At 44.3% G+C, this 15007-nt stretch overlaps 2 long non-coding RNA genes across 5 annotated transcripts in view, besides 3 other annotated features; one reads left to right on the top strand and one right to left on the bottom strand.

The window, feature by feature from the left end:
• The window catches only part of LINC01588 (long intergenic non-protein coding RNA 1588), a 25852-nt gene extending 20875 nt beyond the window's left edge, over window positions 1–4977 (top strand). For both annotated transcript variants that reach the window (NR_126498.1, NR_126497.1), the window contains exon 4: window positions 4342–4977. This is a non-coding gene — a long non-coding RNA (long intergenic non-protein coding RNA 1588). The remainder of the gene's footprint in view (window positions 1–4341) is intronic.
• LOC105370485 (uncharacterized) overlaps window positions 1–15007 on the bottom strand; it is a 19875-nt gene extending 4868 nt beyond the window's left edge. The window contains exons 1-2 of one of the 3 annotated variants that reach the window (XR_007064159.1): window positions 14020–15007; window positions 1295–1416 (exon numbers count right to left, since the gene is read on the bottom strand). This is a non-coding gene — a long non-coding RNA (uncharacterized LOC105370485). Of the gene's footprint in view, window positions 1–1294; window positions 1417–9250; window positions 9451–14019 lie in introns of those variants that run through there. The other 2 variants (XR_943841.3, XR_007064157.1) reach the window with 2 other exon arrangements.
• Window positions 8853–8902: an enhancer, noted in NCBI's record as "active region_8333". NCBI's record gives its function as "activates an Ori minimal core promoter by ATAC-STARR-seq in GM12878 lymphoblastoid cells {active_cell/tissue: GM12878}" and the evidence as "EXISTENCE:reporter gene assay evidence [ECO:0000049][PMID:35858748]".
• Window positions 8923–9052: an enhancer, noted in NCBI's record as "active region_8332". NCBI's record gives its function as "activates an Ori minimal core promoter by ATAC-STARR-seq in GM12878 lymphoblastoid cells {active_cell/tissue: GM12878}" and the evidence as "EXISTENCE:reporter gene assay evidence [ECO:0000049][PMID:35858748]".
• Window positions 10541–10835: a silencer, noted in NCBI's record as "tiled region #3168; K562 Repressive non-DNase unmatched - State 23:Low". NCBI's record gives its function as "represses a minimal TATA promoter and a strong SV40 promoter by Sharpr-MPRA in K562 cells {active_cell/tissue: K562}" and the evidence as "EXISTENCE:reporter gene assay evidence [ECO:0000049][PMID:27701403]".

The following is a 15007-nucleotide window of genomic DNA, read 5'->3' as shown; positions in this document are numbered from 1 at the left end:
CTCTGAGCAGAGCCTCCTTCACGTAGAGAAGTGAACATTGTAGTGAATGAAGGGTGTTGAAGTGCTAAGGATCAATATTCACTAGCAACCAGAATTTTGGAACATGGTTACCATGGTAACATTGTCAGCCCCAAATGACTGTCATGAGGTGAAAAAAAATTATCTTAAAATAAATGAAACCAGAAAAAGTATATTTATATACCTCTTACCAAACACCTATCTGTTCACAAAGTAGAACATGTTCTTTAAGCTATAGATACTCAAAGACTGGGGGAAATTCATGACACAGAGTTTTTCTTGAATTAAGAGAATTTTTAATAATTTTCACCCCCAAAATATGGTCTGTAAAAATAACTGATATGAATTTTTTAAAAGTGAAAATAGTTCTAAGGAATTATGGGCTTGTACACTTAGACATTATGCAGCCATGACGTTAAAATTCTGCACGAAACTACCAATCGCTCATTTGAAATTGGTAAAACAATACTTGATTCGGACTAAAAGCTCACATTTTCTTATGTCTAAGTTGTACAGATTATTTCTATAAGGCTCAGTAAATAAGGTGCCATAATATTCATTGTACCATGAGAAAAAGATGTTGGCCACACATTAGATAAAAACCCTTGGGCAGGGTTTTTGCCTTGCTCTCCTGAAACTCCATCCTTTGCTTGTCCCTCCTTACTAACAGAACCACAGTTTTATTTAGAGCAGCAATGTGCCCGAGCAAAAATACTCCATTTCATAACCTCCCTTGCAGTGAGAGGTGGCCATATGCTATAGTCCCAGCCAGTAATACATAGACAAAAATCCCTGAGAAGGATATTGTTGGGAGACATTTCTCCATGCTCACACATTTCTATATATATATAGAAATATATATATGTGTAATTAATTTATATATATATATATATTTGCTGACCAAGTGTTCATGAAAGGTCTCTCTTTTCAAATGTGTTGGTTGCACTCAAAGAAAGGTAACATTTAACAGAAAATATTTCAATACACCAGGTCTGTCACTTGACTATAATAATTGTCTTAAGAAAAGACCACAGCTCAACCTCAAGGAAATAACTTCTCTTCTCATTTTTGTTCTATTGACTACAAAACACTACATAACTTAACAATGAAATTAAAAGGGGCCGGGCACGGTGGCTCACGCCTGTAACCCCAGCACTTTGGGAGGCTGAGGCAGGTGGATCATTTGAGGTCAGGAGTTCGAGACGAGCCGGCCAACATGGTGAAACCCTGTCTCTACTAAATATACAAAATATTAGCCGGGCATAATGGCACACACCTGTAATCCCAGCTACCCGGGAGGCTGAGGCAGGAGAATCGCTTGAACCCAGGAGGTGGAGGTTGCAGTGAGCCAAGATCATGCCACTGCACTCCAGCCTGGGTGACAGAGTGAGATTCTGTCTAAAAATAAAAAAGAAAGAAAAGAAATTAAAAGAACTGACTCATCTTCGGAGGCTGTTTCAATAGGATACCAGAAGTAATGACAATTGTCATCACAGATTAAAAATTTTTGAATGCCTTATACACCATTTTTAGAACATTGGATAAACTGAAATGTGTATCTAGAAGAAAAATTAACTAATACATAAAATGAGAATATAAGAGGTCAGTTTAGATCTTCACATCAAAAATAAGATAGAAAAGAAGATAGTGTGCAAAATAAGATAAATTATAAACATCCTTAGTATATCTTCAGTACATGCTGATTCCTAGTTTTTGTTGAAAAACCTAAACTATGTGAATTAGCTGTAATATGTGTCCTCAGTATGATTTCTGCCTACAAGTCTATCAAAACCACAATGAGATATCATTTCACATCCAATAGGTTGTCTGTTATTTTTTTTTTTAAGAAAAATAACAAGTGTGAGTGAGGATGTAGAAGTATCGGAATACTTGTGCATTGATGGTGGGAATGTGAAATGGTGCAGACGCTATGGAAAACAGTCTGTGGCTTCTCAGAACATAAACATAAAGTTACCATATGATTCAGCAATTCCACTCCTAAGTGTATACTCAAAAGAATTGAAAATAGGGACTCAAACAGATACTTGTACATTGGTGTTCATAGCAGAATTATTCACAATAGCCAAAGATGGAAACAATCTATCCACCAACAGATGAGTGGACACACAAAATGCAGCATGTACATACAATGGGATATGATTCAACCATAAAAAGGAATAAAATTCTGATACATGCTACAACATAAATAAACCTTGAAAAACTTCAGCTGAGTGAAATAAGTGTGGTACTTGGATACTAAATAGGTCTGAAAAAAAAAAAAAAGCCCGGGCGTGATGGCTCACACCTGTAATCCCAACACTTTGGGAGGCCGAGGCAGGCGGATCACGAGGTCCAGGAATCAAGACCATCCTGGCTAACACAGTGAAACCCCGTATCTACTAAAAATGCAAAAAATTAGCCAAGTGTGGTGGCATGTGCCTGTAATCCCAGCTACGCAGGAGGCTGAGGTAGGAGAATTGCTTGAACCTGGGAGGCGGAGGTTGCAGTGAGCCGAGATTGCACCATTGCACTCCAGCCTGGGCGACTGAGTGAGACTCCATCAAAAGAAGGAAAGAAAGAGAGAAAGAGAGGAAAGAAGGAAGGAAGGGAGGGAGGGAGGGAGGAAGGGAAGGAGCGAGCCAGGTACAAAAGGACAAATATTGTGTGATTCAATTTATGTGAGGTATCTAGAGCAGGCAAATTCATAGAGGCAGAAAGTAGAATGGTGGTTACCAGGAGATAAGGCATGAGAGAATAGGGAATTATTGCTTATTGGGTACAGAGTTTCTGTTTGGGATGATGCAAAAATCCTGGAAATAGATAATGGTGACAGTTGGGCAATATTAAGTGAATTGTGAATGTACTTAAGGCCACTGAATTGTACACTTAAAAATGGCTGGTCAGGCACGGTGGCTCATGCCTGTAATCCCAGCACTTTGGGAGGCCGAGGTGGGCAGACCACGGGGACAGGAATTCGAGACCAGCCTAGCCAATATGGTGAAACCCTGTCTCTATTAAAAATACAAAAATTAGCTGGATGTGGTGGCAGGTGCCTGTAGTCCCAGCTGCTCAGGAGGCTGAGGCAGTAGAATATCTTGAACCCAGGAAGCAGGGGTTGCAGTGAGCCAAGGTCGTGCCACTGCACTCCAGCCTGGGCAACAGAGCAAGACTTCGTCTCCAAAAAAAAAAAAAAAAAAAAGTTAAAATGGGCCGGATGCAGTGGCAGTGGCCACACCTATAAACCCAGCACTTTGGGAGGCTGAGGCGGGCAGATCACCTGAGGTTGGGAGTTCAAGACCAGCCTGGCCAACATGGCGAAACCCCATCTCTACTAAAAATACAAAAATTAGCTGGGCGTGGTGGCCATGCCTATAATCCCAGCTACTTGGAAGCCTGAGGCACGAGAATCTCTTGAACCCCGGGAGACAGAGGTTGCAGTGAGCCGAGATCATGCCACTGCACTCCAGCCTGGGCAACAGAGTAAGACTCTGTCTCAAAAAAAAAAAAAAAAAAAAAAAAAAGCTAAAATGGTAACTTATATTACATATGTTTTACAACAATTTTTAAAAATCTATGAAACAAATGAAACCAAAAAAGTGGGTTTTGTTTGTTTGTGTTAGGAAGAAAAAATAGAACAGTTTGTAAATTTTGTTTGTGGGTTTTGTTTTGTCTTTGCTTTCTTTAATCCCAACCTGCCCATGCCGTGTAGCGGGGTGACTAAGACCCCCCCATGAAATTACAGAAGGCTTTCGGGCTGCGGGTTTGGGTGGCTTTGTGCCTCAGGAGATCCTACGTCATTTAGAAAGATTTCTACTTTGGCAATTTTGTTCCAATTCTTCAACTCTCAGGAATGTGTAGCATGGAAGCTTCCCCCCACTGCCCCCCAAGCCTATGTTGGGTCAGAATTTGTTTGTGAAAATATTATTTTAGGATTCCTTCCACTTCTGTCATCTGCTTATTTTCCTTCCTGCATATTTCATAACGTAGCAGAGCGATTTCTGATTCAGCAGTTAAAATAGTCTGTGCATTCGTTATCACTTCCTTGTGACCCACTTTATGCACAATTACTCATTTCGTCATTGAAAGTTTAGATTTCAAAAAAAAAAAATTCTGGGACTAAAGTATGTGTCTACGGAGAAAAGGAGGGGAAGAGATATTGACTGAATATCTATTCTAGCACTCAAAGGAACCCCAAGGGTGGGCACTGTGGATCAACCCTGAGGTTTCCCATCTCACCGCTCTTCTCTCAAATTATATCCTCTTCAGTTGTTCCACACTCTTAACCCCACCTTTACACTCTCCTTACTCTCATTTTCTTCCTAGGAAATACCTCTGTACACTCACCAGACACTGGCTGCTGGTTGTCACGGTGCTAAGAGCTGTGGGAAACATGAAGAGCAATGAGACCAGGTCCCTGCTCTGAGGAGACGTGTGCCAGCGAAGTTTCTCTCCCACGTGAGTGTGCTACAAGAAAATCTGAACCCGAGAATCTGATTCAGTAGGTCTGCACTTTCTCCACTTTGCCAGATAATTCTGATTGAGACCGTCAAGGCTGTGACTAGTGGGGAGGCAGTAGAGTATTTTCTGTGCTAGACTGAGGCAGCCCTGAAGCACTGCGCAAGCACATGGAAAAGAGAAACGAGATTGGGCCGGGCACGGTGGCTCATGCCTGGAATCTTTGGGAGGCCACGGATCACTTGAGGACAGGGGTTTGAGACCAGCTTGGCCAACATGGTGAAACCTTGTCCCTACTAAAAATACAAAAATTAGCAGGGAGTGGTGGTGCACACCTGTAATCCCAGCTACTCTGGAGGCTGAGGCAAAAGAATCGCTTGAACCCGGGAGGTGGAGGTTGCAGTGAGCTGAGATTGGACCACTGCCCTCCAGCCTGGGTGATAGAGTGAGACTCCATCTCTAAATAAATAAATACAAATAAAAGAAAGACAAGATTGGTCTAACAGATGATGGAAGGCTTCATGGAAGGGGAAATTAAGCAGATGGGAGGCCCAGCAGGCACTGTACCTGCTGCTGCTCAGCACTGGATGTGAGGGCAAGACTTTGAGTCACATTCCTCCCCATACCCCAGGGCCTTTAGAGCATATGTAGAGGACAGGAAACTTGGGACAAGGGGGTACACTCACTTCTGAGACGGTCCAGATGGATGATACCTTATCCTGGGGTACCTGCTGCACAGAGTTCCAGTTCCAGACTAACCTGCTAGCAGAGGTCCCTGCTAAGGTCCCTGGAGAAGGTCCTTAACTTCTCCAGTCTCAGGTGAGAGATGATGTTATCTGCTTGGTAGAGTTGGTGTAAGAATTAAATGAGCCAATGTGTGTAAGACCCTTGGTACACAATCAACCTTCAGTACATGATGGCTAAGGTTGTTTTTATTAATCTATATTTCTCCTTAGGATAGATTCCTAGAAGTGGGGCTACTGGAACAAGGAATGTAAGTGTTACTAAATGGTACATACAGAAATTGTGTGCAGTTTTCTTTTAAGTTTATAAAATTGTCTCAATTTGACTGCTAGAGATAAGGAAGTTCATTTATATCTATGACACTAGGTGCTTGGGAGGATATATACAAGGTATTAGCAGTGGTCATCTCTGAATGGAAGGAACAATGGGTGTTCTCTATGTTCTTTTTGCTGAATTGATAGATGGTGGCCACTATCTTCTTCCTCTTCCCTTTCCCCTTCGTCATCCTCCTTCTCTTCTTCCTTCTCCTCCTCTTCCTCTTCCTTGGCCTCCTTCTTATTCTATTCCTCTTCCATCACGCACACCACACACACACGCGTGCACGCACACACACACACACCCCAGCTTGTTTCAGTGCCTGGAATTCTCTTGAAATTAACATTCCCTGCCCCAGGAGACCCCTACTAAAATGCAAATATGTTAGCTAGAAAATGCAACTCCCAGACTCCCATAACACCCTCCTTCCCCAGCTTATTGATCCCATTGGCTGGCTATTAACACCTGGCTCAGAATAAGGACAGAAGGAGGGCCTTGGGCAGGGTTACCATCCCAGAAGGGCAATCCCAGAGTAAGCATGGTGGCCATGGGGACATCATAGGGGTGGTTATCAGAGCTAGAAGGTACATCAAGAAACATCAGATGCTCAAGATAAGGCAACCAAAACAAAGCAGTGAGCAGGTTTCCAGAGGAGTCCTGGGAAGGGAATGGCTGCCCTGCTATCTGAGTTGGCTCATGTTCAAGGGCTGGAGGCAGAGGAATGAACCAATGAAAGCCCAGTTATCAGGTGGAATGGTACATCATGAGAATGCAGATTGCCTCTTTGTACACAGCTGTTCTTTTTGGTATAAATTTTATACCAGAAGGCTACAGTTTATACTAGTAAGTTCCAAAGTGCTGGTAAGTAAATCACCCTGAAAGCAACTGGAAAATCTCAGAGTAGATGCTATGACAGTTTGGAGTAATTCCTTAAAGTGCTTTCTATATGAAAACTTTCCTTTCTTGATTAACTTATTACATAGCTGTATTAACCTTGACTACAGAGTTATTTTTAGGCAAACCAAACCCTCTATCATTCCCATGGATACATTTTCATTCCATAATTGAAATATATTTCAATTCTGGAGAAATGCTTTGAGAGATTGATATTTCTGAAACAACATTGTTGCTTTGGCTTTTCCCAAATTCCCTTAATTCCAAATTAGGGCAGGAAACCTCCCCCTTTTTTTGTCCTAGAGCTCAGAGCAGCCTCTCTCTAATTCAGATTCTAAACTTCACATGAGAATCCAAATTTTAAGAAAAAGAGAGATTTCCAGTTCAAGGAGACAGGGTCTGGGTGGAAGAGAGGATAGAGGATACCCAAGTTGTCAACAAAGACTAACGCTGTCTTGCATTTATTACAACAACAATAACACCAAAAAGGAGGTGAGGACCCATGCAAATGGGCTGGCCAGGCTGCAATCCCCCTCACCTCCACATCCTCCAACTTCACTACCAACCAAAACTGCTCTGAGCAGCCTCTGCATGTTCCTGTTATTGGCAAAAAACCCATCCTGCAAAAAGGAAAGCATTATATCCCTTCTTCAAAAGAGGGGAGAGAAACACCAATAAAGTGCCAGCTACTCAGGGCTGAGAGGTTTCCACAGAGCCCAGTGTTCAGAAGTTCAAGTCTAAGACACTGTGGCAGGGTCACAAGAATGTGCATTACCTAAACCGTGTCTGGAGAACAAGCGGAACAAGGCCATCAGCTCTGAAAGGCCTGGGGCTAGCAGGGGGCTGAGCACCCAGCGGCTGAGGAAGCGGACAGATGCCAAGGCACCCAAGGGGTCTCCAGGCTGCACCTCAGCAGCTCCTATCGTTTCATGCTCCTATGGTGGGTGGTGGGGGATGGTGGGCGGTCTCTCTGCCCCTTTTAGTGTTTCTGGAGAGAAAGGAAAGCAAGCCCACAGGCAGGCAAACCTTGACAGCAAATAGAGAAGAGAATGCACAAGGGCAGGGAGGGAGGAGCCCAGGGAATGCATTGCTCCCCACAGAGGCAGGCCAGAGGGAGTGATGGTGGGTGGTAGTTCTTCTGCTTACCAAAGTTGGAGCTCCAGAGAGGATGGCAAAGGGGTGTCTGAAGAGCTGGAATGGCTGTAGGCTCCCCTTGCTCAGGCCAAGGGGGTGCTGTGCCCCAGACTTCCCTGAATCTTCATTTCTGGCCCCCTACTTGCTCTCTCTTGGAGCACCTCACCCACTTCTAGAAATTCAATTTGCATCAGTGCTGGGGTCTCCAAGATCTCTTCCCTGGAGTTCAGACCCATGCATCCACCCTCCGTCCAGGCATCTCTACCAGCATGTCCCACAGATACCTCCAAACCAACCTGTCCTAAATGACCTCTTCATGTCTGCACCAAAATACACCCTCCACTTGGGTGTATTCTCTTACCTTAGTCAATTGGAGGTAGGGGACTCATCCGTCCAGTCAACCACAAACCTTGCCCACACCACCCCACATTTTATTCATCACTAAGTCCACCAATTTGACTTTCTAAGCCACCCCAACCACCTCTGGGGAGATCAGGCCACTGTCCCCTCTCACTGCATTGGTGTGGCAGCCCCCTCACTGCCTCCCTTGACTCTATCTTGTCCTCCTCAAGTCCAGCCAGGTTGATTTTTCTAACAAGTAGGTCTGAGTCCTGTTTCAAGCTTCTTTCTATATCCCCACTCCCATACAATCTGTTCAAGACCTAAACTTGGCATTGGGGCTCACAGATCTATTCAGAAGTGTAGCCTTTTAAAAAGTTACATTATGAACTACTTAAAACTCACAAAAAGGCATACAGAATATAACAACACACATGTACCCATTCCCTAACTTTATAAATAAAGCCTTAGCAAGACAGTTGAAGCTCCCTGTGGACTCCCCCACCCCCTCCTCTCCCATAGAGGTAACTGCAGTCCTGAATTTGTCATTACTCCTATTCTTTCTTTGTAATTGTATGTAACATGGCTTCTTTATTTCATTATAATGTATCTATTCTTCCTTATGAGCCTCTCTTGCTGCATAAATTTTCCTGCAGTCCACGAAATGCTATGAAGAGAGTAAAAGCAGCCATCACTTCAGGTGCATTCCCAGTCTCTCAAGGCATTGCATCTTCCTCTTGCTGTGCTCCAAGATGTTGGCAGGGTAATTCCTTCATTAGGATGGGTATTGTCTTTTGTCACCTTATGGGAGACAAAAGGCAGCACCGGAGTCCGCCAGTGCACTGGAGTCCGCCATGAGGCACTGGAGTCCTTACTATGTTCTCTAGATCCTCACTAATCTCTGCTGCAGGGTGGCTGGGAACTTCTTGTCTGATCTCTCAGCTTTGCCAGGGTTCAGTGATCTCCCCAGGTAGACTCAGCCATAGCTCAGCTTCCCTTGGCCCTGGCTCTGAAGGGTTTCTGCCAATCTCCCATCCAGCATCTGGCCTGAGAGGTCCGCCCATTCTTTACTATGGGCTTGCCTTCCCTTCACCACTGAGGGCCCCAGGTAGCCTCTCTAACTCTTATCTCAACCATCTCTCATGACATATGGGAGCCTCTGAGTCCAGTCCATGCCATATGAAAACTGGAGGGGGTTCAGCAGAGAAGCCACACCGCAGCCCTACCTCTGCCTAATCACACTACTCTGTTTTACTCTGATGAGTCAGGGCAGCCTGAGAGGACTTCTCCTTTCAGATTCGACATATGAAGCAAGGTAAATGCCCTAGGTCTGGTGTTCATGTCAACCTACCTGAAGCAGAAAAGAGCGTCCTTCATCTGCGCCCTTATAAAATCTGCAGTAGATAGTCTCCAAAGATGGCCACTGTTGATTCATCTCTCCCTATGTGTGCATATTGTTCCTCCTTTAGAGAAATAGAAGCCATTTCCTCTCCCTTGACTCAGGGCAGGCTTTGTGACTTGCTTTGATCAACAGAGTGCAGTGGAAGTGCTGTTCTGATAGCTCTGAGCCCAGACCTTAAATGCACTGGTAACTTCCTCTTCCTTTTAATTGGAGCCATCTACCATGTAAGAAGTCCAACTACCCTGAGATCACCATGCTATGAAGAAGCCCAAGCTATTCATATGTAGAGGCTATATGAAAAGAGACAGAGAGAGAGAGATGCCAGCCAGCCAGCTATTTCAGTTATCCCAGCTGGAGGCATCAAACATGGGAATGAAGAAGTTTTCTTGGGTATTCCAACCCCAACAGATACTCCATGAACAGAAGAACCACTCAGCTGAGTTCAGCTCAGATTACAGAACTATGAGAAATGGTAAAATATAGTTCTAAGCCACTAAGTTTTGGAAGTGGCTTATTATTCAGCAATAATTAAATGAAACAACTCTCCAGCTGTGTTTCTCACCAATGCCTACTTTATAATTTATGCTCCAGCAACTCAGACCAGCTTGTGGCCCTCTGTGTATGCCATGCTGTTTCTCACTTCCATCCTTTATTTCAAGCTATAATCTCTTTTTTTGACCTCTCTTCTTTGCCTGGCTAACTTTTATTCTGCTCTTGTCTTGTTTCCTTTTTTTTTTCTACTAGGCACCCATGATACCCTATGCAAATCACCACCATTATACTAAATATGTTATATTATAATTGTTTCTTTATGCAGTGGACTCCCAAACTAGGCTGTAAACACCTTAAGCGTAGGAATCATGTCTTACCCAGCTTTGAGACATCGCTTTATATGGAAATGCAAGCAAGTCCCTTAAACTCTTTCAGCTCAGTTTCCCTGTATCACTTAGGGATTGCATTCAGTTGTCTGCAACAGAAACCCAGCCTCACCAGGTTAACCAAACAATGGCTTATTTCTTTCACATAACAAGTCTTGAAGGTAGGCCTTCCAGGGAGGAATAGTGGCTTTACAATGTCAGCAATATCCCAGGTTCCTTCCACCTTCCTGCTCCTCCACCCTCAGAATGTGGATTTCCTCCTCATAGCTTCCTCAAGGTCACAGCATGGCTACTCTGCCACAAGCCTCACACCCACATTCCAGAAAGGGAGAAGGAAGGAACAAGGAAGAAGGGGCAGTGCCCATATCCCAGAAGAAATACTTTTCCAGAAATCTGCAGAAGACTTCCACTCAGGTCTCACTGGCCAGAATCAGATCACATGGCTGTCCACAGCTGCAGTAGCAGCCGCAGAAATCACCAGAGAGCCTGAACTTTGAGCTAGAAGCAGTCACTGCTTGGGGTTGCCTCTCTGTAAGGAACAAGGAAAGAATGGACATTGGGTAGCAACTGGTAATGTCTGCGTCATTCACCACCTATAAAACGGGGTTTAGGACCTACTTCACAGAGTTGATGAAATTAAGAGAGAATGTAGGCAAATACTGTCCTTAGTATCAAGGACATAGTAAGTATTCAATAAAAGCAATTACATTCTTACATTTCCAGTTGTGACACTTAATTCCAATATCCAAGAGTTTTCCCTGAAGGGGCAGAAAATTAGTTGGCTTAAGGCATTTGTCCCACTCTGTCTGTAATTCTTCTGCAATGAATTTGCTTCTGATGATTAACAAGTTTTTTCTCAATAGTCTATTCAACTGTTAATAAATCCAAACTGGATTAGCATTATGACTCTTCACTAATAACGTGTGACCCAGAAAAAAACAAAGCTTGGAGGGACACAAACGACAAATGAGCTGTTTTCATTGCTTTGTGGCTACAATGTTGCATATTTCATTTCTGATTCATGGAAAAATATCCAGCACACAGAAGTCAGCTAGCTCTGTGAAAGGCCTTGGACCAGGGAGGTTAAGAATAAAGTCCCAATGTCTTAGTCACTGGGGCCTAGGAAGCTGACCTGGAAGATGTTAGCAGCAGAAAGACTTTTGCTAGGAAACTGCTCTCTGAATCTGCTACCCTCTTGCTCCCACAGCTTTGTTTAAGCAGATCACTAAAGATTTATGTATTGACTAGAACTTTTTTGTTTATTTGTTTGCAAGGGGAAAAGCACAAATACAGCACAAGATGACATATTTAAAAAGTAAATTTATATAATCCCAGTGCCTTGAGGGGCCAAAGCAGCAGGAGCTCTTGAGGCCAGGAGTTCAAGAACAGCCTGGGCAACATAGGGAGAACCAATCTCTACCAAAAACTTAAAAAATTAGCCAGGTGAGGCCAGGCGCTGTGGCTCACACCTGTAATCCCAGCACTTTGGGAGGCTGAGGCAGGCAGATCACCTGAGGTCAGGAGTTCAAGACCAGCCTGGCCAACATGGTGAAACCCAGTCTCTACTAAAAATACAAAAAGTAGGTGGGTGTGGTGGCGCACACCTGTAATCCCAGCTACTCAGGAGGCTGAGGCAGGAGAATCGCTTGAACCAGGGAGGCGGAGATTGCAGTGAACCAAGATCGCTCCACTGCGCTCCAGCCTGGGTGACAGAGGGAGACACCATCTCGAAAAAAAGAAAAAGGAAAAAAAATTAGCCAGGCGAGAGGATTGCTTGAGCCCAGAAGTTCAAGGTTACAGTGGGCTATGATTGCACCACTGCATTCCAGCCTGGGCAACACAGTAAGATACTATCTCTTTAAAAAAAAAAAAAAAAGAAAAGAAAAGAAAAGAAAAGAAAAAGTAAACTTATTGGTTTGAGTGACTAAAATGTCCAGGCATAGAGTTTCAGGCATAACTGGCTCCAGGTGCTCAAACGAAGGATTCAGGAATCTTCCTTTCATGTCTCAGTTTCTCCCTCCATGGTAACAAAAGTGGCCCCTTAAAGCTCCCAAACAGGAACCCACCAGCTTAGGAACCCCAGCAGAAAGAGGAATCCTTTTTTCTTTGGAGGCCGAGGCGGGCGGATCATGAGGTCAGGAGATCGAGACCATCCTAGCTAACACAGTGAAACCCCATTTCTACTAAAAATACAAAAAATTAGCCGGGCGTGGTGGCGGGCGCCTGTAGTCCCAGCTACTGAGGAGGCTGAGGCAGGAGAATGGCGTGAACCCGGGAAGCGGAGCTTGCAGTGAGCTGAGATTGTGCCACTGCACTCCAGCCTGGACGACAAAACAAGGCACTGTCTCAAAATAAAAAAAAAAAAGAGGAATCCTTTTCCCTAATTGTTCCAGCAAAAGCTCCAGGACTAGCCCAACTTGGGTCACTCTCCCACCCTGAGCCAATTCACTATGCTAAGGACATGTGGTTCTTTTATTGGCCAGTCTGGGTTGCATGCCTCACCAGGAGCCTGGGGCAGAGCCAGCCTCACTCACACTTCCTAGGTGGAGAGTAGGAGTAAGGTTCCAGCCTGGCCAACGTAGTGAAACCCCATCTCTACTAAAAATACAAAATATTAGCTGGGCATGGTGGCGGGCGCCTGTAATCCCAGCTACTCGGGAAGCCGAGGCAGGAGAATCACTTGAACCCGAGAGGCGGAGGTTGCCGTGAGTCGAGATCACGCCATTGCACTCCAGCCTGGGCAACAAGAGTGAGGCTTCATCTCAAAAACAAAAACAAAAACAAAGAGTAAGGTGGTCTCCAAAGGATAATCGAGGTGCACCTGCCAGCAAAAGCATATTCTAAGACCAGGCCCCACAAAAGCTCCATGGTATTGTTAGATACAGATATTACTGAGCATTAATACTGTAATAATACAGTGACGGTCTTTTCCATCTGTTAATGTTCTACTCATTTTTCAGATTCATTTCAAATGTCACCACAGACCAGGCGTGGTGGCTCACTCCTGTAATCCCAGCACTTAGGGAGGTCAAGGCAGGCAGATCACTTGAGGTCAGGAGTTTGAGACCAGCCTGGCCAACATCATGAGACCCTCATCTCTACTGAAAATACAAAACTTGGCCAGGTGTGTTGGTGGGCTCCAAGAATCCCAGCTACTTGGGAGGCAGAGGCTGGAGAATCACTTGAATCTTGGAGGTGGAAATCGCGCCACTGCACTCCAGCCTGGATGACAGAGGGATACTCCATCTCAAAAAAATAAAATAACATAAAATAAAATAAATCACCACAAACAAATCTCCCTAATGAGATTATTTTTCCATCAGCACTTTCTTTTTCTCTCCTGGCATGTATCATATCTTGCTATGTCGATTATGGTGAGTCACACAGCCATTTGTTTACACTCTGGTTTGGTTAAAAAAAGGCAGAGCTGGATCTGGGTACGCCTCCCATTCATGATGAGAACACCTCCCACCCCGACACCCAGGATGAGGGCTTCTCTGCCTGAAGTGTCCAGGCCTTGGAATGAAGAGGCTAAAAGGTGGTAAGAAAAATGAAACTCAAATAGCTCACTCCAGGAAGAAAACTCATCCGTGGCACAACACTGCATCTTGGAAATCAGCCTGGCTTTTCTTTCTTAAGTCATACTGGAACTGTCTCTCTTTAATATGTGTGAATGAAGCTGAAAAGAGATTCAAACCCTAAGATGGCAGTAGCCTTAGAAATTTCATATCCTGAATAAATTTGAGAGAGAGAGGAAGGGGAGAGAGAGAAATGTTGCGAGACACCTTTCTTCCTCCAATAAACAAAAAAGCAAATACCCCAGATGCCTTTTATACTCACCCCGGGGCAAGCAGCTTATTACTAAGTTCAGAAGCTTTTGCTGCTCCTACTTTCTACAACCCCATCTGTTTCCTCTCCTGTTGCTGGTGGCTTCATTCCAGGGACACTACCCTTGAGGAAGAGGGAGCTGGCATACTAAGATCCTTCTAGCGTCACTCTTGCTTGCAGACACCTGCAGATTTCCCGTGAATGTTTCCTGTTCAATTCAACGGGTTTTAATTACATGAACTAACATTTGCTCACTCTTAAACCACGGTTGCCCTCATAAAAGACAGACTCCAAAAGACTGGGATTGGGCAAGCCCAGAAAAATCTAAATGTTTATGCAAACATGCTCATGTTTCCCTCCTCATATTCCTTACTGCTCTATCATTACAGATGTTCTGCCTTGGGAGATCTACCTTCTGTTTTTCTCATTTAAGGCAAAAAAACATAAATTCTCTCTTTTCAATTTCCATGTACTCCTGGTGGAAGCAGGAGTAAGTTCCCCTCCTGCAGACACCTCAGCTTTCTGGGCATAAATGGCCCCTGTTGGCTCCTTAGTGAAGTCTAAGAGGCAGTGACCCTCCGTGGAGCTGCAGTGGTGCTTCCCTTTCTGTAGCTTCTGGGCCATATTTCTGAACCAGAAATTGAGAACTATCTGAAAAAATCTGAGATGTATTGTTTCTCAAGTCTTGTCAAGCATATTGCACAGTTTGCTCCCCTGCCAAGTTTCTCCCTCATAATCCTGACATGTTTGTCCCAAAACACACTCATTTCCCATAATCAAAAGAGCCTGGTGGGGGGGGGTGGGGAAACCTGAGAACTCAAGAGGCATAAAAATGAAAGCTAGTTATGTGAGACTTCATTTATTATCATGATGAACCCAAGAGTTTCCGATGTATGGTTTTTGGTAGTTTTTAGAGTCCAATGTCCTTATTTTGAGCTTAGAGATATTGCAAGGTCCCTACCACAACCCCCACCACCACACACACACGAGGCTGCCCACA

The sequence above is a fragment of the Homo sapiens genome, chromosome 14 (assembly GCF_000001405.40).
Source record: "Homo sapiens chromosome 14, GRCh38.p14 Primary Assembly".
Taxonomy (NCBI): Eukaryota; Metazoa; Chordata; class Mammalia; order Primates; family Hominidae; genus Homo; species Homo sapiens.
Note: the sequence above shows the minus strand (reverse complement) of the source record. Positions and strands in the feature narration are given on the sequence as shown.